The 24,980-nt window shown below is 46.2% G+C and overlaps 1 protein-coding gene across 2 annotated transcripts in view, besides 3 other annotated features; it reads right to left on the bottom strand.

The window, feature by feature from the left end:
* The window catches only part of TCERG1L (transcription elongation regulator 1 like), a 219,331-nt gene that overhangs the window by 84,871 nt on the left and 109,480 nt on the right, over window positions 1-24,980 (bottom strand). The window lies entirely within an intron of this gene.
* Window positions 1,446-1,993: an enhancer, noted in NCBI's record as "H3K4me1 hESC enhancer chr10:132976970-132977517 (GRCh37/hg19 assembly coordinates)". NCBI's record gives its function as "activates a minimal SCP1, AML or CMV promoter by ChIP-STARR-seq in primed H9 embryonic stem cells {active_cell/tissue: H9 hESC(primed)}" and the evidence as "EXISTENCE:reporter gene assay evidence [ECO:0000049][PMID:30033119]".
* Window positions 1,994-2,540: an enhancer, noted in NCBI's record as "H3K4me1 hESC enhancer chr10:132977518-132978064 (GRCh37/hg19 assembly coordinates)". NCBI's record gives its function as "activates a minimal SCP1, AML or CMV promoter by ChIP-STARR-seq in primed H9 embryonic stem cells {active_cell/tissue: H9 hESC(primed)}" and the evidence as "EXISTENCE:reporter gene assay evidence [ECO:0000049][PMID:30033119]".
* Window positions 3,976-4,496: an enhancer, noted in NCBI's record as "H3K4me1 hESC enhancer chr10:132979500-132980020 (GRCh37/hg19 assembly coordinates)". NCBI's record gives its function as "activates a minimal SCP1, AML or CMV promoter by ChIP-STARR-seq in naive H9 embryonic stem cells {active_cell/tissue: H9 hESC(naive)}" and the evidence as "EXISTENCE:reporter gene assay evidence [ECO:0000049][PMID:30033119]".

Raw genomic sequence — 24,980 nt, forward strand, 5'->3', positions numbered from 1 at the left:
CACATGCCCACGCAGACACAAAGCAAAGCTTTTGCCTGATGATGGCTTTTCGGCCACCTGTCACAGCGGATAAAGGCATTGCTCACAAGCTCACTACTGAGGTCTGCTGCTCTGTGCCCTCCGTGTGCCAGAAAAGAATGGAAGAAAAGCTGATACATGTACGTAAACGTGAACAAGCAAAATGTCAGTATTGTGACTTTTTCTAGAGGTGACATCAAAACAAGTTGCTTCTCTGATGAGAACTGTGTGTGCCCTGCACTGCTCCTCCCAGCACAGGGCCATTGCAGTGTCCCGAAGTGCAGCATGCCCATCTGCAGTGGTAAGTCCCCTTGGCTACCACGCTGTCTCCCCTTTTACGGGCGTTAACACGCCCAGCACATGTCAGAGGGCAGCGTGTGTGCTGGGACCCCCATCTGGACAGCCCCTCACAGAGGCAGCCAAACACCCTCTTCCGAGTCCGGCACAGAGCAGCAGGCTCTGGGCAGATGTCAGCTAAGGTCACGGCAGGAGGCTGAAGGGGAGGCTCCTGGCACGTGACTCTGGATCGATGCCCCCCATGTCTCCCCTGACCTCTGACTGTTCTAGATCCACAATCCAGCTTCTTCCCGTCTCGATCTCGCATGACGCTCGCACTGCACACAGGAGCCGTCAGCCTCTCGAGTCCCTGCTGTAGTTTCAAGTCTGTTTCCACTTTACTTTTTCTCTAGAAACAGACCCTGGCATGTTGCCATTTTGATGGAAGCAGCCTCCACATTCCGGGACAGTCACACAGGCTCTCCCTCCCTTTACTCCCGGGGCTTTCTCAGGAGTGGGGGGAGCCTGCGCACTGGGCGTCAGCCAAGGTCCCACCTGTGCCCCCTGAGGACCCTGCCTCCCTGCTGAGCGCTCTGCAGGAGGCACCACGTGAGGCCCTGAGCCTTTGCCCGGGGAGGTCGCCAGCTTTGCCTTTACTAGAATTGCAGGGTTAGCACAAGACAGTGACAGCGGTGACCCTGCCAGGTGCTTGGAGGGGACTTCCCTGGAAACAAGGAAGCCGACTAGCGCGGGGCCCTGGACGTACTTTTGAAACAAGACGAGGCAGGTTTGTATCTGAATGTCTCTTGTTCCTCTCAGCTGAGCTGTGACAAATGGGGTAACGAGTATCTCATGCCCTGAGTGGTCTTCAAACAGCTTGAAAGGTCTACCAGATGGCGGCATGTGCTTTCAAGTCTCACCAAAAAAGGTGAGGCCCCCTAGCCATGCAGGTCAAGAGACATACCTCTCAAGGGCATGCATCTGTCTGTCTGTCTGTCCTCAGGGCCTGGGAAGAGGCACAGGCCCTAATTTGAAAACTGGGTGTGGAGACCTTCATTGCCTCTCCCAGACCTGAGGTCTCCCCAGCACCTGGGAGACATGTGGTCTCGCCTGTGGGTTCCCAGCAAGCACTAAGTTCAGGGCCATCGCTCGCCCTGCCCCAGGTGTCTCCGGGATCCCTCGGGACCTTCTCCCCAGGCATCTGCCCGTTCTATGCGCTCCAGGATGAAGATCTGGCTCTCCGCACTTGAGGAGCCTCTCTTTGATCAAGTTAAACAACAGAATCAACAGATGGGACTCCACTGTACACTCCGCAGAGCTGCAAATGAATTGTTTAATGAGAAGGCAAAGCGGTTCCAGCAGAGCCCCGCTCACTACTCATGTATGCTCATCAGTGCTCGTGCGGTCCCTCAGGGACACACTCCTACGTGTCATCACGGAGGGTTCCGTCTCATGATGGCACCAGCCCAGCCTCCAGCCCCTCTGACAGCAGGGGAGGCTGAGCCCGCGTCGGCACCATGCTGGTGGAAGCCGGGGCTTCTGTGAACACACCTGCCCGGCTCTCTCCACGGGCTGCAGATCAGGCTGCCCGGATCAGGAGGTGAGCAGCACTTCCTGCCCACCCCAGCAAACTAACAGGAGCCGGCTGAGGCAGAGCAGCGGGGGCAGCCCCCACGCAGCCACGTGGGCAGCACCTGTGTGTTTCCCAGGTCACAGCGAGAGGCCAGGCCACGCCCAAGTCAGGACCATGGAGCTTCTCAGCTTGAGTTATACATATAGAAACACCAAAACTCAGCACCATTCAGCGGCCTTTTAAACTTTTCTTTCAATCCAAGAATGCCCTAAATAGAAGTAGGAAGAATGTGCCCCGCAGGGCACCACATCCCACGTGAGGCTGGTCTGCAGAACACAGCCCTGCCCTCCCTCGGTGATCACCGGAGTAGCCCTCGGTCCACCCTCGGGCACCACCTTTTCCAACCTGGACAGCAGCCAGGGGGACTGAGCCAGCCCAGCCGTGTGACCCTGCAAAGTTCACACAAAGCCATTCCTACTGACACGACCACCATGGAGGGCTGGCGGGGAGGGGCTTCCACTAATTCTTCTGGCCCTTGTGGTTTTGTTTTGAGGTCAATGAAAACATTGCTCTCCAGAGCCAAGAAGTGGAGCTTTAAACTTAAACTACACTTCACCATGACAGAAGCAGCTGCATGCGTCGCTGACGGTTTTGTCCCCTTGCAAATAGTGAGGGGTAGTAGGCTCTGCGAAGTTAAGGCCCAGGCACCCCCTGATTCCCCGCACCCACTTCTGGGTGGAGAGAAGTGGCCACCAGCAGGTCTGGAGTCCTGGAATTCTCCATTCTGCTGCTGGTGACAGCAGTTGACTTCCAGACAAAGAGCTGGCAATGATTTCTTCATGCTTTAGTTAAAAATATGTGCCAAGCATTGCCCTGCTCTGAGCATGGCCTGAGACCTGAGGGAGGTCGGGAGAAAGACAGACATGGTCTTCCTGGTCTGGCAGGCAGGTAGTGACCAACCTGCTCGACAAGGGACTCCAGCACACAGCTCAGAGGGGAGAGAGGCTAGGGGATGGTGACATTGAAGTGAGACCCCAAGGATGGGTAGGGATGGGATAAAGAAGAATCTATATGATACGGGAATGGCAGATAGGGATGCAAAGTCCCAGAGCTAAGACCACAGTGGCCTGGCTCACAGGCAGGGGCGAGTGACAGAAGACAGGCAACGCAGGAGCGAGGCCAGCTCAGGCCCAGCCGTAGAGACGGCTGCCACTGGGCATTGCAGGGAGCTCTGCAAATTACAAACTCTAAGGACACCAATGTATTGCATTGCTAATGTCATATACAACATATATAGGATATTACATTCTGTTTCATTAACGTAATAAAAATGAGGACATTGTATTTTTACGTTCACATTCATTTTCGGGTACTATCCACTGCTAATATTGTTTCACATTAACATTTATTTTAGGCTACCATCTACTGCTGATACGATTGTGTAGAAGAAAGAGAATTTCAAGGGGGGCCGGTACTATTCCTATAGGTGTATTTTGACCATGTTAAAATGAAGTGTTGGAGCCGTAAAGTTAAAATATTGTATTTCACACATTCGTTATCTCAGCCTACGCATCCAGAACTTCAGATTTTAAAACCTCAAAATACCTTTTAATATAACCTTCAGTTCTATATGGAAGATAAATGCATGATTAAGTATATTCACATTCTAAATTACATCATTAAACTTTATCAAATAAGAACGTTTTTGTAAAAAAAAAGGGTTCAGTATTAAAGTGATTATAATATAAAAGGGAGACGTGTGAATCCCCACGCTTCCCATCGCTGACTGCATCCTATTATTAGCGACGTCTATCACCTTGAAGGGAAGTCGCATCCCTGGTGTCTGGGTTTGATGCTGCTCTTCAGGAGAAGCCCCTGCTGCCTCCATTCTCATGACCAGGGAGTTTTAAGGCTCAGGCAGGGAAGGGCACAACCCCTGCCACTGCCCGCCACAGACCATAACCCCAGAGTCCAGACCTCCGCGCTGCTCCCTGATCTACGTGGTTGAATCACAGCCTCCAGTTCTCCAGCCAGAGCTGGGACCTCCCCACAGTGGAGCCAAGGCCTGGAGCCTGAGGGCCACTGGGGCCAGAAAGAGAGAGTGGGGCCAGGCTCAGCTAAGGCCCACCTCTCTCCCTTCACCTGGCCTGGGAGGATGGAAATCAGGCTAGGATGAGACAGCACCACCAGCAACACCAGGGGCCCGGGGGTGTCTGTGCTCAGCACAGAGGCGGAGGTCTGCGATTGGGCGGGCCTGGGCACAGCACTCAGCTCAGCTACTTCCTAGCCACAAAGTTGGGGGAGCATCACCTACCTTCTCTGAGATTCAATTTCTCCATCAACTGAATGGGAAAAGTAATACCATATGGAAGATTCAGGCTATGGACAGAGACGCTAAACATTCAGTGCCATGCACAGGTGTGCCCCTGGCAGGGCTCATGGAAGTAGATTCTAACAATTGTTTGGACAAGAGCCTGCTGAGCCAGCCTCATCTGCTGCCAGCGTCTGCCTGTGGCCAAGGAAGCAGGGAAAACCCTGGCCCGGAGGAGACCTGCAGTGGGCCAGGTGGGCCAGGAGCAGGGAGAGGCTCTCCGTGTCCCCCCTCGCCTCCTGAGCACACTCAGCTCCTCTGGGTCCACGTATCTTTGCAAAATGCACTTGTTCATCCAGCGGGGCATTCCAAAAACTCGTGGTAGCCACTATTCTATTCTGAACATTTTAAGGGAAACCTTTGCAAACCTCCTTTGCAAATACATTGGGAACAACCATTCATCCCTCCCAAGGCAGCATTGCTCGTGTTAAGATGCAGCTTCAAATCACCAAACAGAAATCAAAACCAATCTCAACAGCAATGTATCTGTGTGTGTGCACATAGCACACCGTGTGTATGTGTGTGTACATAGCACTCTGTGCATGTGTGTGTGTACACAGCATCTGTGTGTGTGCATGCATATGTGTGCACATAGCATGGGTGTGTGCATGGGTGTGTGTGCACACAGGACGTGTGTGTATGAGCATGTGTGTGCATGTGTATATCAAATATGCAGGTCCCTTTAGAAGCCTTGAGTCTGCCGTGTGAGTGGGCATGGGAAACAGACCTGAAGAGTGTTCTCTTGCCTCCGTAAAAATGCATTTTGCATTGTCACTGGGTGAAAGGGAGGAAAAAACGCACATTAAAGTTACACCAAAGACTGGGAGGTCCTCAGGGCAGGGCCGGGGTCTTTGTGCCCCTGTCCCTAGCTGGGGAGCTAGCACCGGGAGGGCATTAGTAAGCAACTAATTTAAAAGAAATAAACATTTATTTAAAACATCCTCTTTGATAGAAATCAGGATTTGTGATAAATCCATCCTAATCTGACCCATCTGCATGATTTAAATGAGTAGATACTTAGGGCACCTGCCCTTGCACAAAAGTGAACTCATGCTTCTCGGAACTCTGCATGACCAAAACAAAAGATAACGTCAGAAGAACTGTATGGATCCCTCTGCCGTGTGGTTATGGTAGCCTGTGATTTATATACACCCTGCTTTAGCATTTGCGGGCCTGTTAGTCTTCAAAAAGCTCATATCAAGTCGGCTCTGACTTTTTGCAGACTAATCTATGTGAAAATGCAGTGCTCACCTAACTGATTTATTTTCACATTTAGAAGTAATAAAATTAATAGTGCAGTTCTCATCTCAGTTGATAAAATTAACTCTTTTTTTCTAACTAACTTCTTTCAGTTATCTTCTTTATTTCTAAAGGAAAGTTATTCCAGTCATTTGATACAAATGGCTTTAATTAGTTTAAGGCAAACATAACCTTTAACAAATCCAGGCTTGGGATTGCTGGTTGTGCGCTAAAGGATAAAAACAGTGCAGTGCTTATGGCATTGATTTGTAACGTCAGGCTGCACAATCCAATTTGGGTTGGCATCAAAGCAAACCACCCATCACTTGAAAGAATAATTCCTCTGCCAAGGCCAGCCCCGAATACACACAAAATGCATTTTTATGACAAGGGCAGGTACATTTTTCAAACGACGGGGAGGGGGAGACTCACCATAACTATGTTCTATTTGGCACTACCCACCATAGGGGCTTCTCTGACTTAAAGCATAGCAGACATTTTCTAAGGAACTTGCATTTTTAATGACTATTTCTTTGTTTTTGCTTTTAAATAAATTAAAACTTTTAAAATAATCAATCCTATACTTACAATGAAGCAACTGATACAAAGAGACCCTTTGTTGGGGAAATACTCAACTGAAGGTTCTTGTCTGAGATTTACCTTTTCCCATTTCTATTGAGCTACCTATCAAATGGGCCAGCCTTTGTCAACTAGAATCAGAATTTCTGGTCCATCCACCAGAACTTGTATTTGCAGATCTGACCTGGGGCTTCTCTCGTATTTCAGTGGCCCCTCACCCTCTGTAGGATATAATCTAATCCCAGTTCTTCCTCCCAAATATCTCAGTTTTCAGGAATTCTCTACTACCTAAGACCGCTCCCAGAACAAGCTCAGAATACAGTTTTATGCACCCGCTCTCTCTAGAATACCCTACACCCATGCCCCGCCACTGACTCCCCCCTCATCTGAGCTCAGGGCCCAGGCTCTCTGGACACTGTCCACACTCCCATGGTGGGGAGGGGGGACCCCTGTTCTGTCTCCTACTCTGTGCATTGCTCTTCTTCTTACACGTGATGCTAACATTATGGCGCGTGTGTCTGCCTCCTTCTTGGGAGACAGGCTCCTTGGAGGTGGGTGTGGCATGCTGAGCATCGTGTCTGCCATGCACTTGCAAAGGCATTGATAGCAGTGGGACTCGACTCACCTCCTCTGACTGCTCACTTCCCCATCTCAGTGACCAGCCCTTGTTTCCGCAGGGCCAACCTTGGGGGTTGCCCTAGAACCCACCATATTCTCTGTCACTGTGTCTCCACCTGGAAGTGTCTATTTCTTGGAAGCTGCTCTCCTCTTTGCCCAGCAAAGCCCTTCTCTTCTCAGTAGAGCACTCCAACACCCCCTTGCCTTGCGAAGCCCACACTTGGAGTGTGCACTAAGCGATGACTTCATTGTCCTTCCATGTTTCAAAAAACGTGGCCCATATTTCTATTCTAGCGTATCACATTTAAATGACCCGTTTCTTATCCGCAAGCTCTCTGAAAACAGAAGTCATGTCTTTTAATCTTTAAATCTACTTTAAATCAACTGTGTGATTGATACAAAATAGACGTTTAATAAATATTGGATGGCTGACTAAATGTATACATAAATGAGGGAACAACTATCGCTGGAGGAGATAAATGGGCTTGTCAATCTGCCCTTCCCAGGCACAGAGCAATCAAACAAAAGAGAAACAAATCAGCAAATAAATTTGAAACTGCATGCGATATTTGGCAAGAGTCAAGGCAGCTGGAACAAAGCCCTCCATACCAGTCAGCGAGGGATCCCACTACCAAGTAGTTGGCTCCTGGCACATCCAACCTCAGGTAGAAAATGCGTCTCCAGCAGCTCTGCGTGTACACATCGGTCACGATGGAAACTCTCCTGCTACTCGCTGATTCTAAGTTGTGAACGGGAAGCCCAGGAGCTCCAGGCACCGAGCAAGCCTCAGCATCAAACAAGGAAATGGCAGCAACAGGTGCACAAGTGTCCATCAGCCTCTCGCCTCACAGAGGAGGCTGTGGGCCCTCTTAGCAGGATCAACACAGTGTCCTCAAAGGGACTGAGAAGGTCCTTTAGCCATGAGGCAAGAACAAAATGGCACCAAAGTCACTATTACAAAACACAAATAAACTCTAGAAAGTCATGTATACATACACATAATATACATCCTACTATATTTACAGGTTAGCTGGGATTACTGTAGAGATTACGGCAGGCTGAGGTGGGAGGATCACCTGAGCCTGGGGAGGTTGAGGCTGCAGTGGGCCATGATGATGCCACCACACTCCAGCCTGGGTGACAGAGCGAGACCCTATCTCAAAACATAGAGACATATAGATGTACATATAGATAAAAATATAGATAATATAGATGTGGGTATAATTTTAAAATAATTAGATAACAAGATGCATCGAGAATATAAATGCATATGGATATATTTTAATTAGAAAAAAATAGATGTTTGAAAGACAGTATCAAGTAAATGTCCCAAAACACAGAAGAATGTCAGAAAGATTTTAAGGAGAAAGAGACATAATCTTGGATTTGGCAATAGATTCTTAGATATAACACCAAATGCATGAGCAACAAAAGAAAAAATTAATAAACTGCATCTCATCAAAATTAAAAACTTGTGCATTAAAGAACACCATCAAGAAAGGAAAAAACAACCTTCAGAATGGGAGAAAATATTTGCAAATTATGTATCTGATAAAGGCCTGGTCTGGTATCCAGAATATGCAAAGAATTCTTTACAACTCAACAAGAAAATGACAAACCACCGAATTTGAAAATGAGCAAATGACTCAAATCATCATTTTGCCAAAGAAGATACACAAACGGCGAACAGGCATGTGAAAAGGTGCTCAAAATCACTAGTTGCTAGGGAAATGCAAAACCAAACCACAGAGAACACATTAAACTCACTAGAAAGGAACAATTTCAGAAAATAAAGGAAAATAACAAGTATTGAGAGTACAGTGAAAATGATGGCTGAATGTAAAATGGTTCAACTACTCTAGAAAACAGTCAAAAAGTCAAACATAGACTTAATGTGAGACTCAGTGATTCCACTCCTAGATCTATACCCAAAAGAATTGAAAACGGATATTCAGATCAATACTTTTAAACAAATGTTCACAGCAACACTATTCATAATCACCAAAATGTGGACGTAATGTACATGAGCATCAATGGATGGGTGAATAAGCACCAAGTAGGCTATCCAAGCGACGGAACATTATCTTGCGATGAAAGGGACGAACTGCTGATATATGGTACTGTGCAGATGAACCCCGAAGACATTATCTTAAGTTAGAAAAGCCAGACACAAAAGGTCACCTATTGTGTGGTTCATTTACCTGAAATGTGCAGAATAGGTAAATGCATAGAGACAGAAAGCAGGTTGGTATTGCCAGGGGCTGAGGGGAGGGGAAACTGGGGAGAAACTGATTAACCAGTAAGGAGTTTTTTTTCAGAGTGAGGAACATGTTTTGGAAGTAGATGGAGGTGGTGGTTGAGCAACATGGTAATTGCGCTCAATGCTGCTGAATTGCTCACTTGAATATAGTTAACCTATGGTATGTGAATTTCATCTCAATAAAGAAGAGAAAAGGTAATAAAAATAGACATACAGATTATCAATCCAGGAAGTTGAACACCCAACTCATAAGAGGTCCAAAGAGATAACAGAGACTGATAGAAAAGTTCTGGGAGCTCCAGAGACACGAGGCTGCAGATCTGATGGCTGCAGAGTTGTATCCGTGCAAATCAGAGATATATTTTGGAAGACCAGGGATAAACACTGATCTGGAAGGTTATAGAAAGAAAAAGAAAACTGATTCTCCTGCAAAGGATGGGGAGAGGATGCAGGTGTCTGAGGGCCAAATGTGTCCCCGAGGAGCCCCCTTTCCTCGTGCCTCTGGCGAGAAGGCAGAGGGCTGTGGCGCTGAAGGCTCTGCCTCTGGGCCTGCCACTCGTGCACCGGGCACTCCACACCACCAAGCTGCCCCAGACATCTGTTTTGTCATTGGTTGATTTTTGTTTTTTCTCATCGGCTGGTTTTTGTTTTCTCCTCCCCAAGGAGGAAGATAATGTCTCGATTTACCCCCACAGAAACATTGTTAGAATAATGGAAGGTGATATCAATGAAAGAGCTTTGAAAAGTCAGAAGCTATGAATCAGAGCTGCATCTGACCTTGACCCCACACCTCCAGCCCTTAGGTTGGCTGCCCTTCATCCCACAGGAGCTCTTTGTCCTTCCAGCCCACTCTCTCACCCCTCCAATGCACTCGCTCTGCCCCTGTACAACAAGGCAAGTCTGCCAGAGCTGGCATGAGCTCCGAGGGAAATAGAGAAGTCCAGGCCAAGAAGTGGGCAGAGGACAGAGGCTGTGCTACCAAAGACAGTGACCTCAGTGCCAGCAGAGGCACGTCGGTCAAATCACCACTACCCAGCCACCACCCCAGCTCCTGGTGCATGATGGTCTATTGAACGAAGGAGTAATTAAATGATGAAGCTGGTATTCGATAGAGCTGTGCAACCTCAGAGTCAGAGACCAAGCTAATCCAAGGCCCAGCCATTGCAGAGAGCTGAGAAGTTTGCCCTCCAGACTCTCCAGTTGTACTAGACATGAGGGTGGGTGTCCAGGTGGCCCAGCAGGGAGCATTCTACCTGGCCATGCTGCTCTGCTGCTATCCAAACAGGACAGCCTCACCCAGGGCCGGCGCCCATCTCCCACCCCAACTCCCGCCCGTGCTTGAAAATGGGGCAGATCTGTGAGTAGATGGCCTCCCATCCTCTTGCATTTCATTCTTAAGAATGGCATGGTGGAAAACCAAAGGCCAAAATCAATAATCTGCCGCTTCTGGGGCCTCCTTGGTTCTCCCTCGGGTCTTGAGTTCTGACTTCCTGCCCCGACCTAACTGAGCTGCAACTACAATACTGCCCCCAAGAGAGGACGCTGGGGTCAGTTTGTTCGCCTGGAGAGCTTTCATGACAGGCCAATGCAGCTGGCACCTACTCGGCACTCCATCCTGCTGCACTGGGAGGACTTGGTGTTAGCAGATAGAAAGAAAAGAAAAGCATCCTCTGCAGAGGGGAGGGCTCCATGTGCCCTCACTCAATGGCTGGGCCAGGTGCTGCTCCCATGCTGCTGAGCCTGTGCCTGATGGAAGGGGTAGATTTGGAGCTGAGTCACACAGAGACTCTGCATCCTGGGTTACGCTTTCTCTGCAGAAAGGCAGCCTCTCCTTGGCTTGGTCCCCAGCACACTTCCCAAGTGACAGCCGGGCAGGGCTGGGCCCTTTCCCTGACTCTGGTGCAATTAGAGCTGGGAGCACACTGCTGCTGACAAGAAGATGGAGGGCTTGGCTGTCCCAGCAGTTAATTGGTTGTGTTATTTATGTGTTTTGAATGCTTGTGAAGTTCCCTGCCTGTTTCTGATACAATTAGTCTCATTGATGGCGAGGTTTATGAGTGGAAATAGTGGGTACTGAAGTGCCGCCTGACACAAGAGAACACAGTAAAAACGGGCACGCGCTCCTCATTTCCATGCAAACACCTAGAAAACGGGCTTCTGAGTTTTTACAGGGAGATAAAAGATTCATCTTGCCCACACAATTACTCCATCCACACTGGAACTGTATAGACCACAGTCTGAGAGCAATGAACTTCTAAAACAAAAGGCCAATATTTACAAAAACATTTTTATTTTTGGCAGCCTCTGGTCTCTCATTAGTATAGCAGAAAGAAATCCTAATTTATACATTTCCATTACTCCTACATTCAATAATGGGCACACAATTAGCATTAATTCAGGACAATTATTATGGAAAATTTAAAGATGTTTTGTACAAATTCTTCAGTAATACTGACTTGGGATATTTTTCGCATGTGTAAATTGTATCTACACATGGGCCATGACTTTGCACTTTTCTTTTAAAACCAATTTAATTCTGAATAGACCATATATTCACTATATTCACATGATTCAAATTTCAAAAGGTACAGATGGATATAATGTGAAATGTCTGCCTCCGCTCCTAAATCTGGCCACACAACTGTCACGGAAAGTAATAAATGTCACCACTTTCTTATGCGAGTTTCCTTAGTTATTTTACGCATTTTCAGGCAAATATGAGTGTATATCTTTTCTATCCCTTTTTCTGTACACAAATGAACCATAGTATATACTTTCTTTGCACCTTTAAAAAAATCTAGTAATATATCTTTGAGATACAGGCAAATAAAGCAGCATCCTAATTTTTAATGGCTCACAATATTCACTGTGTGGATAGATTAGCATTCATTAAACCCACCCCATAGGAAAGGACATGTAGGTTTTTCTAGAAGTTACAGATTGTTGTAAAAGAAAGTCTGCTTAGATTTGCCATTTATTATTTTTCCTTTTTTATTTTTATAAATTTATAGGGCACAAGTGCAATTTTATGACATGCATAGATAGGGTAATGGTCAAGTCATGGCTGTTAGTGTATCCGTCACCCAAATAACACACAGTGTGCCCATTACATAACTTCCAATTATCCATCCCTCCCCACTGCCTCACCTCCAAGTCCCCACTGTCCACCATTCCCCTCTCTATGTCCATGTGTACACATCATTTAGCTTCCACATTGAGTGAGAACATGTGGTATCTGACCCGCAGTGTCTGGCTCATTTTACTTAACTTGATGACCTCCAGTTCCATCAATGTTGCTTTGAAAGACATGATTTTATTATTTTTTATGGCTGAATAGTATTCCATGTAATCTATATATACCACATTTCCTTTATCGTATCTTCCATTAATGGACACTTAGGTTGATTCCATATCTTTGTTATTGTGAGTAGTGCTGTGATAAACAGGAGTGCAGGTATCTTTTTGGTATATTGATTTCATTTCCTTTGAGTAAATGTCCAGTAGTGGGATTACTGGATGGCATGATAGTTCTCTTTTTAGTTCTTTGAGAAATCTCCATGCTGATTTTCATAGAGGTTGTACTAATTTACATTCCCACCAACAGCATACAAGAGTTCCTTTTTTCTGAATCCTCACCAACATCTGCTATTTTTTATCTTTTTAATAATAGCCACTCCGAAACAAGAACAAACTAAACCTAAGGCTAGAAGAAGAAAAGGAATAACAAAGATCAGAGCAGAACTACATTAAATTCAAACAAAAAAATACAAAAGACCAATGAAACAAAAACCTGGTTATTTGAAAAAATAAACAAAATTAATAGATCATTAGCTTGATTAACCAAGAAAAGAAGAGAGAAGATCCAAATAAGTTTAATTAACAATGAAGCCGGAGACATTACAGCTGACACCAGAGAAATAAAAAAGATCATTTGAGACTCCTATAAACATCTCTATATGCGCCAACTAGAAAACCTACAGGAAATGGACAAATTTCTGGAAACATACAACCCTCTTAGAATAAATCAGGAGGAAATAGAAACGCTGAGCACACCAAAAAACAAGCAGTGAGATAGAATCAGTAATTTTAAAATTGCCACACAAAGAAAGCCCAGGACTAGATGGATTCACAGCTGCATTCTACCAGACATTCAAAGAATTGGTACCAATCCTACTGAAACTGTTCCAAAAGATTAAGAAACAAGGAGGCCTCCCTAAATCATTCTATGAAGCTAGTATCACCCTTTTACCAAAAAAGGAAAGGATATAACAAAAAAGAAAACTGCAGACCAATTTCCCTGATTAACACAGATGCAAAAATCCTTAAGAAAACACTAGCTAACCAATCCAACAGCACATCAAAAATATAATTCCTCATGATCAAGTGGGTTTTATTTCAGGGAGGCAGGGTTGGTTTAACACACGCAAGTCATTTCAATAGATGCAGAAAAAGTATTCAACAAAATCCAGCACCTCTTTATGATAAAAACTCCCAACAAACTAGGCATAGAAGGGACCTACTTCAAAATAATAAAAGCCATATGTGACAGACCCACAACCAAAATCATACTGAATAGGGAAAGGCTGAAAGCATTCTCCCTGAGAACAAGAACAAGATAAGGATGCCTAGTTTTGCCACTCTTATTCAACAAAGTTCCGGAAGTACTAACCAGAGAAATTAAACCCGAGAAAGAAATAAAAGGCATCCAAATTGGAAAAGAGGAAGTTAAACTATCGCTGTTTGCAGATGATATGATCGTATACCTAGAAAATTCTAAAGACTCCTCCAAAAGACCCTTAGATTTGATAAATGAATTCAGTAAAGTCTCAGGTTGTAAAATCAATGTACACAAATCAGTAGCACTGCTAGACACGAACAAAGACCATGCAAGAATAAAATAAAAACTCAGTATTTTTCACAACAGCTGCAAAACAAAAACAAACAAACAAACAAAAAACCCTAGGAATATACTTCATCCAGGAGGTGAAAAATCTCTACAAGGAGAACTACAAAACACTGCTGAAAGAAATCATAGATGACTCAAACTAATGAAAACACATCCCATGCTCATGGATTGGAAGAATCAGTATTATGAAAATGACCATACTGCCAAAAGCAATCTGCAGATTCAACGCAGTTACCATCAAAATACCAACATCATGTGTCACAGAATTAGAAAAAACAATTCTAAAATTCATATGGAACCAAAAAAGAGCCCAAATACCCAAAGCAATCCTAAGCAAAACAAACAAATCTGGAGGCATCACATTACTGGACCTCAAATTATACTATAATACAAGACTATAGTCACCAAAACAGCATGGTACTAGTAAAAGTAGGCACATAGACCAATGGAACAGAATAGACAACTCAGAAATAAAGCCAAATACATACAGCCAACTGATCTTCAACAAAGCATAAATTGCAAAGGTGCTGGGAAGACTGGCAAGCCACATGTAGAAGAATGAAACTGGATCCCATTTCTCACCACATAACAAAAACCAACTCAAGATGGATCACAGACTTAAATATAAGACCTGAAACTTGTAGTCCCAGCTACTCGGGAGGCTGAGGCAGGAGAATAGCGTGAACCCTGGAGGCAGAGCTTGCAGTGAGCTGAGATCGCGCCACTGCACTCCAGCCTGGGGGACAGAGCAAGACTCCGTCTCAAAAAAAAAAAAAAAAAAAAAAAAAGAAAAAAAGAAAAAGACCTGAAACTATAAAACTTCTAGAAGACAACACTGGAAAAACTTTTCTAGACATTGACCTAGGCAAACAATTCCTGACTAAGACCCTAAAAGCAAATGCAACAAAACCAAAAATAAATAAATGCGACCTTATTAAACTAAAAAAGCTTCTGCATAGCAAAAGAAATAATCAGCAGAGTAAACTGACAACCCACAGAATGGGAGAAAATATTTGCAAACTATGTATCCAACAAAGGACTAGTATCCAGAATCTATGAGGAACTCAAACCACCAAGGAAAAAACAAAAAATTCCATTAAAAGGTGGGCAAAAAACATGAACAGACATTTCTCAAAAGAAGATATACAAATGGACAACAACCATGAAAAAATGCTTAACATAGTTAATCATCAGACAACTGCAAATTAAAACCACAATGAGATAACATCTTACTCCTGTAAGAACGGCCATTATTAAAAAGTCAGAAAACGATAGATATGAGGAAAAGGGACTCCTTTTACACTGCTGGTGGAAAGGGAAATTGGAACAACCCTGATGGAAACAGTATGGAGATTCCCAGATTCCTTAAAGAGTTAAAAGTAGATCTACCATTTGATCCAGCAATCCCACTACTGGGGGTCTACCCAAAGGAAAATAAGTCATTATATGAAAATGACACCTGCACACATGTTTATAACAGCACAATTCACAACTGCAACCTAAACGCCCAGCAACTAATGAGTAGATAAAGAAAATGTGGTATATCTACACCATGGAATACCACTCAGCCATGAAAAGGAATGACATAATGTCTTTTTTGCAGCAATTTGGATGGAGCTGGAGTCCATTATTCTAAGTGAAGTAGTAACACAGGAGTGGAAAACCAAAAACTGTATGTTCTCACTTATAAGTGGGAGCTAAGCTATGAGTATGCGAAAGCATACAGAGTGGCAAAATAGACACTGGAGACTAAGAAACAGGGAGAGTGTGAGGAGCTGAGGGACAAAAAAACTACACATTAGGTATGACATATACCACTTGGGTGACAGGTGGACTAAAATCTCCAAATTCACCAAGATATAATTCATCCATATAACAAAAGCCACTTGTACTCCAGAAGCTATTGAAATAAAATGATAAATAAATAAATAAATAAATAATAGTTATTTTGACTAGGGTAAGATGACATCTCATTGTGGTCTACATTTGAATTTCTCTGATGACAAGTGATGTTAAGTATTTGTCATATGTCTGTTGGTTTTTTATATGTCTCCTTTTGAAAAATATCTACGCATGGCATTTACACACTTTTTAATGAAATTTATTGTTGTTGTTGTTGTTGAGTTTTTTTGAGTTCTTTGTATGTCCTAAATATTAGTTCCCTACCAGATTAATCATTTGCGAATACTTTCCCCTATTCTCCAGGTTGTCTGTTCACTACGTTGACAATTTCTTTTGTTATGCAGAAGCTTTTTAGTTTAATTAAGTTCCATTTGCCTACTTTTTTCTTGCCTATGCAAGTCAGAAATTATTTGCTTAGACCAATGTCCGGAAGAGTTTTCCCCAGGTTTTCTTATAGTATTTTTATAGTTTCATGTGTTATGTTTAAGTCTTTTATCCTTCTTGAGCTGACTTTTGTATATTGTGAGAGATAAGGGTCCAGTTTCACTTGTCTGCTCATGGCTAGCCAATGTTCCCAGCACCATTTATGGAAAAGGGTGTCCTTTCTCCAATGTCTTGTCAGTTTCATCAGAGATCAGTTGGCTGTAAATATCTGGCCTTATTTCTGGCTTCTGTACTCTGTTCCATCCATCTATGGGTCTATTTTTGTACCAGTACCATGCTGTTTTGGTTACTATATCCTTGTCATGTAATTTGAAGTCAGGTAATGTGATGCCTCTAGCTTTTTCCTTTTGTTTCAGATTGCTTTGTCTATTTGGGCTCTTCTTTGATTCCATGTGAATTTTAGAATTTTTTTTCTAATTTTATTAAAAATGTGCTTATGAGTCTTGCTGGAAAGCACAGCCCTGTGTACCCCTCACTGAGCCCCCACAGGGGGATTATGAAGATAAAACCCCAGAAGGGGAGTGGCTGGATCTAGGACACACACCTTTGAGATTCTGATAATGTTGCCGCATTGGCCATCTCACGCACTGTGCTGATTAATAGCCACACCTCCAACCCCCAGCGGCGTGCCTAGGCTTCCGGCACTCCGGCCACACCACACGGCATGGAGCTTTGACCCGTGCCAAAGCAGTGGGAATGCGTGTCTTCATAAAGGTTCGCTTTGCTTTTTGTTGCTCCATTCAACAAACATTGGGAAGCTACCATGTGCCAGGCACTGTTCTTGGCGGTGCAGAGTGAGTGAGGGAACAAACAGATGTCACTCGCTGCCCCGAGGAACTTACACGCTGACGAAGGGAGACAGGTGATATCCCCACCATTGCCTTCAGCACCTTTCCAGGGATTAAAAAAGGCACCCGAATTCCTCTTCTGGAAGCTGCCTATTCATGCCTAGTGCCTAGTCCTTTTGGACTGTGGGTTTGTTTGGGTTATAGAATTAGAGGGCCCTTTTGTCTAAGATAAGGTTTGTGACATGCTGTTCTCCTTTTGACTTTGCTTGTGATCACAGTTTCCATGCCTCAAATTTTTATTGTTAGGTGGTCAAATTCTCCATTATTTTCTAGTGGAGCTTCCAGGTTTTCTGTTATATTGAGAAATTTCCTCACTCCAAAATTATATACTAATTCTCTCATGATTTCCTCTGGAAGTTTTATGGTTTCATTTTTTGCACGGTGGTCTTGTTTGCACGTGGAATTTATCCAGGAGAAGGGGCGAGATGTGTATTTCACCAGGCGGCTGCCCTGTTTTCTCAACAGCATCAGCCGAATAATCCATTTCGCCTGTTGATTTGCAATATCTTCTTCATCATAAACTCTGTGCCTACGGATATCTGAGTCCCGGAAACATATGCACATATTTACATACTGATCATATGTTTTTGCCTGTATATACACACATGCTATTTTAAGATCAAGGAGCAATAAATACTGCTGGTAAGATTTGGCTGCTGATACACATGTGCCACTAAATCCAGCCCATCAAAGTTTTCACTGTTCCATTTGCTGAGGTCACTGGTTGTGGCCAGACCCTTTTAGTGCCCATGGACTCCTTCCTTCCCTCCTGGCCCAGGCTGTTCCAGGTCCCAGCATGCTTGGATCTTATAAGCACGAGGAACAGACGTGAAATGGGAAGCAGGTGAATATTTTTATTTCTCATACTTTGATAAGAAATGGAGCATGACATGAGATCATCTTAGCAGGCACATCCAGGAAGCTGAAACCGTGTATGTGAAGCCTGATCACAGCTTTTATCTGCCCATACCTGGCCGGTGGGTGTGGCTGTCTTCCTTTTGCACCTGTGCACATCTCAACCCAGAGACAACAGACACAGGGGCAGAAAGGCCTCGCTTACTTGGTTTCCCCATCTGAGAGGCTCGGGGCCCTGCAAAACCAGAACACGACTGTGGCACCAGACGGAAACCAAAAAGGAGGAAATCTCCGCTTTTCAAGGCTGACGGCTATCCACAGCAGGCCACAGCAGGCCAGCTTATCTCCAGGGAAGATGTTCTCCTTGCTGCTCTTCCCAATCCCCCTCCCCTGTACCCCGAGAGCTTTCTATGAGAGGGGTCCAAGGACCAAGGCAGGATGGGAGGCCTCTTTCTCCAGCCCGATCGCACAGGACCTCTCCGCTGGGCCCAGGCTCCCTGCACGCTCAGGGCTGTGGTCCTGGCACATGTGCTGCTTGAGGTGGTCCTTCCCTCGGCCTGCTGTGTCCCACCACCCTTCCCACACCCTTTTATCTTCTGGGGGACGCCCCTGCCATGGCCGGCCATGCTCAAGCATCTTGTCTTCCGCAAGGCCTTCTGGGCACTTCTGGGTGGAGACCACGCTCGGCCTGCGGGGCGCGGCTCTCCTGGCTCCATCCACACAAGGCGAGGCAAGCACAGCCCCTGCACCCTGTCCCCACTGGCCTGGAGCTCCTTGGAGAACACAGGATGCGGGAAGCTGGTCCCCAGAACTGGGCAGCGGGGCTGGCACTGAGTGGACACGCAGAAAATCTGTGAGTGACACACACTGGCTGGTCAGCCAGCTGAACAGCAGTGAGTACCCCCATTGCCAGCAGCCCCACTGAATGTCAGTTCCTTTAGGGCCCAGTATTCATGGTACTCCCGTTGCAGGAGACAAAATAAGAGAAATAAAAATTAACGGATCTTGGCTTTGATAAAATGTTCAGACACCTGTCACACACAGATGAGATCGGACTTCCGCCACTGGAGGTGAGATTTACTTTATCGGCATGGCACCCTCTGTGAAATATCCTCCATCCACCACTTCTTGAAGAGTTCAATGATCACTGTCCCTGCTTGAACCGGAGACACAGGCACATACACAGCCGCGTCGCTCAGTGACCCTGTGCATTTGCAGGGAAGGTGGTGGGCGTGTTGGTTCCTTCCAAGAGAAAGAGGATTCAGGATGCCAGGATACCCCAGGCCAAGGGATGCCAGCTCAGCCACGCTGACACTCACAGCCAAGGCCTGAGCATGTTCTGAGGACAACCTCGATGTGCAGGTGCTCCTCTCCTCCTCCAGTCTCTACCACTGCATGTTCAGTCTCCACTGTCCTGAAAACTCTATGATCAGTGCCTGGACTTTCATGGGGAAAGACGTAGAGGAGAGGGCAGGAGGAGCCCTGGAGCTCGGAGGCCACCTTGGCACACCTGGGGCTGCGGCCCAGAGTCTCCGCTTTCTTGCTGCCTTAACAGACTCCCGTGACTCGGCCTGACTGGCTGGAACACCACCACCAAGCAATTCCCTACAAGGAATAAACATTCTACCAAAAAAGTAGCATTGACCTCTGCTGTCATCATGCGCTAGCTGCCATTCACTTCTTAGTACAAATTGATACCGTATTTGCATTGTTGATCTCAGCTCTACTAAGAGAAGAAGGAGAATCAGAGAATGGGGTACTTAGGGAGGGCCCCTGACTTGCCCCCTAAAATGAAAGGCAGAACAAGGGACCTGGGGATCAGGTCCTTTGCAAGGGAAGAGTGGGCTCCAGGGAATCAGAAGGAGAGGAAGAGGCTGGGGAGTCCATGCCCCCCTCACCCTGCCCTTCCTCTACAAGACACTCCCTGTGTGGTCTGTCAGTGCCAGGGACCAGAAGTTTTGTTGCAGCTTTCATCTGGGACCCTGCTCAGTTTTCTCTTCTTAAATAGGGCCAAATAGTTTCCTTCTCTCCTCCATTTTTTTTTTGAGATGGAGTCTCACTCTGTTGCACTGCCAGGCTGCAGTGCAATGGCAAGATCTCGGCTCAGTGCAAGCTCCGCCTCCCAGGTTCACACCATTCTCCTGCCTCAGCCTCCCGAGTAGCTGGGACTACAGGCGCCCGCCACCATGCCCGGCTAATTATTTTGTATTTTTTCTAGTAGAGATGGGGTTTCACCATGTTAGCCAGGATGGTCTCGATATCCTGACCTGGTGATCCTCCTGCCTCGGCCTCCCAAAGTGCTGGGATTACAGGCATGAGCCACCACACCTGGCCTTTCTCCTCCATTTTTTTTTCTGACGCAAACTTCACAAAGTGTACAAAGGTACAAAACACAAAATGCAAGAAATTAGCCATGATCGAGCATCAGAAGGCAACTGCAGTCATCCCTGGGGAATTTTTCATTATATCCCAGTCTTCACCAACAAGCAGGTCTACCCAGGGAGATGGCCCAAAATTGAACACGTGCATGCAGATAGCAGGACACACCAGCCAGAGCCGACCTGAGGTGAGGAGCCCTCTTTTAGAAAAATAGCATAAAATACAAAAGCAAAATTAAATACAAATGTGTATCTTTACCTTGAATGAGCAAAAAATCACAACACATCCCAAATACAAAAAAGTTTAAACAACTGCAAACATCACATAATCGAGGAAATTGGCATAATCTTTAGACCAAATTCCTGTTATGTTTTGAATTATTTTTGCTCTTACATTTTGGGGCTGTGTCCTTGTCAAACATCTCTGCATACAAAACAATTTTGTAACATCATTTTCTATAGTAGAATAGATATTTAATTCAAATTTTCCTGTAGCATCTATGCTCAGAATTGCTGTTTTTTACAAAAATTCTTCATAATTGCTGCACCTGAGGAGGTTCTCACCTGTGGCGACATGCCCATGGGTGCAGCGCTGCTGTGTCTCTGCCCAATGGTCTGGGCATCCTGGTATGTTCTATTTTGTGGGATTATCATGGGAAATGACACAGGTGTGGTGTGTTTATCACTATGTACGTGGCATCATCAAGTCTATTCTGATAGAAAAGAACTCAAAAGTGACTAGCTGTTGAGAAATTACACATCCAACTTGGGAGGAATTTCCCAGACTGGCTTCTGGCTCTTCACGCTTCAAACCAGGTCCCCTGGTGACCCATTGCCCACCTGCTCCTGAGGGCCAGGACTCACGGGAAGTGTCCCTCAAGACAGAGCGTCTGGCCCACGCCTTCCTTTTATGACAAGAGGTGTCTCTGCCCATGCCGCACTGCCATAGCAAAACACCACCGGCTGAGTAATTTATAAAGAGCAGAAGTGTGTTCCTCACCGTCCGGAGGCTGGGAAGCCAGGGCAAGGCTCCTCCAGTTCCACCATCCAAGGCAGGTTCCTGGCTGCCCCCTCCCATGCAGCGGTGCTGGAGCGGCCCCACAGCTGCTCTCCCAGGTGGCAGTCTTAGGCCTGTGGCCCTCCCAGGCTGATGCTGCATGCTGGTGACTCTACGGGTCTTTGTGGGGAGCCCTGCTCTCATGTATCCACTAGGCATTACTCTAGCAAGGGCTGTCTGTGAAGACACCACCCCTGGCAGATGGGGCCCCGAGCCTCTCTGAGGCTTCTTTTGCATCTGGGGTGGAAGAAGCTTGTGCCTGCTCAGCTCATGCACCCCGTGCACCTGCAGAGGCAGCGCCACGTGGACAACACCAAGGTCACAGCTGGTACCTTCTGGGGCAGCAGGTCCAGCCTCTCACCTGGCCCACTTGAGCCACAGCTGGGGCGGCTGATGAGTGCTGGGTCAGAATGAGGGGAATGGAAACTTGAGGCAGCCCTGCGCAGTGAGCCCCAAGATCTCATGGGCACCCTGGGCCCCTCCCTGAGCCCTTCCACCCTCAAGGGCCTGGCTCTCTGGGCCTGTGAAGGACTTGGCAGCCCCAGGCTCTCTGAAATGCCTGCAGGCTCCTGCTCCCGTTGTCTGGTGAACAGCATCTGGCCGTGGCCTATCTGTACTCACCCTTTGATCAAAGGGTGCCTTGGCTACCCTTGGTGCTCTCTCCCCAACCCCCTTCTCATTCTGTACCTGGCCAGACAGAGGATGTTCCAACTTTAAGCTCTGCTTCTCTTTTGATTGTAAATTCCATTTTTAACTTGTTTCCCTCTTTTCACATTTTACTATAAGGTCAAAAGAAGCATCCTGAACCCCTTGCTGCTTAGAGATTCCTGACAAATGTCCTAGTTCACTGCTCGCAAAGCTCTGCCTTCACCAAGTCCCAGGACACAGACACAGCTCACCCAGTTCTTGGCCACATTATAACAAGGGTACCCTTCCCTCAGTTTCCAATACCTTGTTGCTGAGAAAGAAAATAAACTTTTTATCTGAGGAATGCAAGCCCCTTTAAAGTAACAGGCCTGTTAAATGGGCATTAAAACTATGACAGCAGTCACGTCACACCCCCTTGAGCTAAATAATTACTTCTTGAAGCCACCTGCTCTGTGGGGTCTCAACTGACAACAAGCAGTCATAAAGGGCCACATACCAGGCACCATCATCACACCCTGTGTTCAGCAGTGCACAGCCAATCACTAAACAGTGCCCCTCCTGTAAACAGTGGGAAATCCCACCCGACAGCTTTGTAGCAGCCACCCCTCGTTCTCTTTCGCCTTTAAACACCTACTCGGAGCACTCCCCTATGCAACCTAGAAGTGTGTCCCGGCGGCTGCCCTCACTCTGGCTCTAGCAAAGGCTGTAAAATTACCTGCTGTGTCTCAGCTTCTCCCTTTAGGTCAACATTCCTCCTTTCCATCTGAAGCCTCCTCTGAATGGCCCTTCCCATCTATATCACTACTTTTCCCGACAGCTCTCCCCTCCTCTGAGCTCTCACCAGGATCGTCCTTAATGCTCTGTTCATGGCAATGCAGGCTTTTCCCAGCATTCACTCTGAAACGATTCCAGCCTCTGCCCCATTCCTGGTTCTAAAGCTGCATTCACATGTTGGGTATATTTTATGGCAATAGCCCACTTCTCAGCACCAGTTTCTGCCTTAGTCTCGTTTGTGCTGCTAGACAAACGAGCTGAGGCTGGGTATTTTATGAAGAACAGAGGACAGAAGTCCAAGGCCAAGGCACTGGCAGCTCTGTTGTCTGATGCAAGTTCCTGGCCACTCCACCCCAAGGAGTGTGGAGGGCCCAACCCCTGCTCCTGTGTCTGGAACATGGAGTCAAAGAAGGTGATTCTCAAACCTCGAGATGTAATGCCATTTGCATTGTTGGGTATTGAAATTACTTTGGATCAGCTACTCTTTCCTTCTTGCCTATGTCTCCTTTTTGGAATCAGGATGTTTATCCTATGTGTGTTCCACCATTGTATTTTGGAATCGGATGACTTGCTTGATTTCGCAGGCTCACAGCTGGAGGGAAATTTTCCTCGGAATAAATCACACTTTGGGTCTCACTCATATGATGTTTAAAAGACTCTGCGCTTTTGAGTTGATGCTAGAACAAGTTAAAACGTTTGGAATTACTGAAATGGAATGAATGTATTTTGCGTGTGGGAAGGACTCAAGTTTTGAGGGTCAGAGTAGAATAATATAATTGAATATGTCCCCTCTAAAATTTAGAAGTTAAAACTTAATGGTCATGTGAACACATTAAGAGGTGGGGCCTTTAGGAGTCGCTTAGATCACAAGGGATCCTCCCTGGCAAAGGGGATGGAGGCCCTTATAAAAGAGGCTTCTCGCACGGTTATCTCCCACTTGCCTTTCCCCCTCCTGCCAGTGCTGTGAGGACACAGCCTCCCTCCCCTCGGGCGGATACAGAATCACGGCGCCATCTTGGACGTGGAGGGCAGCTTTTGTGGTCTCATGACCTGTTAAAGGCCGTGCCTCTTGACACCATCACACTGGCAACTAAGTTTCAACACATGAAACGTGGAGGGGACACATTGGAACCATCACAAGAGGTGAAAGAATTCCTGAGAGTCAGGCCCACCACCCGCATAGCTGGCTTTGCCTCCCTGGAAAGTGAGCCCCCAAAACACATCCCACTAAACTCAAACTAAATGAAGCACCTCCCTTCCCCCAGCTGGGTCCTGCCACACCTACAAACACTCCACCACCACCCACAAGGCAGGGACAGCGACAGAGAGGGTCACGCTGGGAACAGACAGCAGCCTTCCTGAGGCCATCGAACATCCGCAGATTTTACACAGACACGTGATCGTGGGAGCACAGCGCCAAGAGTTCCCCGGGGTCTCGTAAGGCGCCAAAAAGGAGGGTCCCAGTACTTCAGTTTCATTCATTCATTATGGACCCGTCACTGCCAATGTAGAATTGTTGCTTTACTTACTATTTTAACAAACGCCACAATCTTAGAAGCTCTTAATAAGCATGATTTAAATGGCTGCAAATAAAAAAATATATAAAAATAAAATAAATCAATGGCTGCCAAATATTTCTACAAAACATGGACTGCAATTTGCTCTGCTGCTGCTGTTGGGCATTTGGACTTCTTTTTTATATTTAATCTCCGAATTTTACACTGCATTCTGTGGGATGTCCTCATGCGTCCTTCTCTGCGGGACTGTAATGACCTTCTAAATGCTCAGCTGTGAGTGAGTTTTTCAGAGCTGCCGGCTTTGCTAAACATGGCTGCTCTTTTACCCCACGTCCACCACCACGCTGTGCTGAAGGCGCATCCATCGACCTTCCTCAGAGACGAGGAAAGAGCCAATGAAAGATGCTAGAAAGCTCTAACAAGTCCCAGGGCCACGTGGGGGTCACGGGGGCTGGTTCTCTCCAGATCCTGTAATGCGTTTCCGATGACTGCTCCTTAGGAAAGGTCCCATGGACAGAACTGCTGGGTTAAACAGACAAACTAATTAAGAGTCTCGATTTATATTAATCCATTTCTTTCCAGAAGCGTTGTACCAAACTGCATGATCACCAGCTGCACGTGAGCCTCCCGACCACATGAAGGAGCACAGAGAACGTACACGCTCAACTGATTGTAACAGCCCACGTTAGAAACAGACTGATGCCCCCAAAGCAAGTA

The sequence above is a fragment of the Homo sapiens genome, chromosome 10 (genome assembly GCF_000001405.40).
Source record: "Homo sapiens chromosome 10, GRCh38.p14 Primary Assembly".
NCBI lineage: Eukaryota > Metazoa > Chordata > Mammalia > Primates > Hominidae > Homo > Homo sapiens.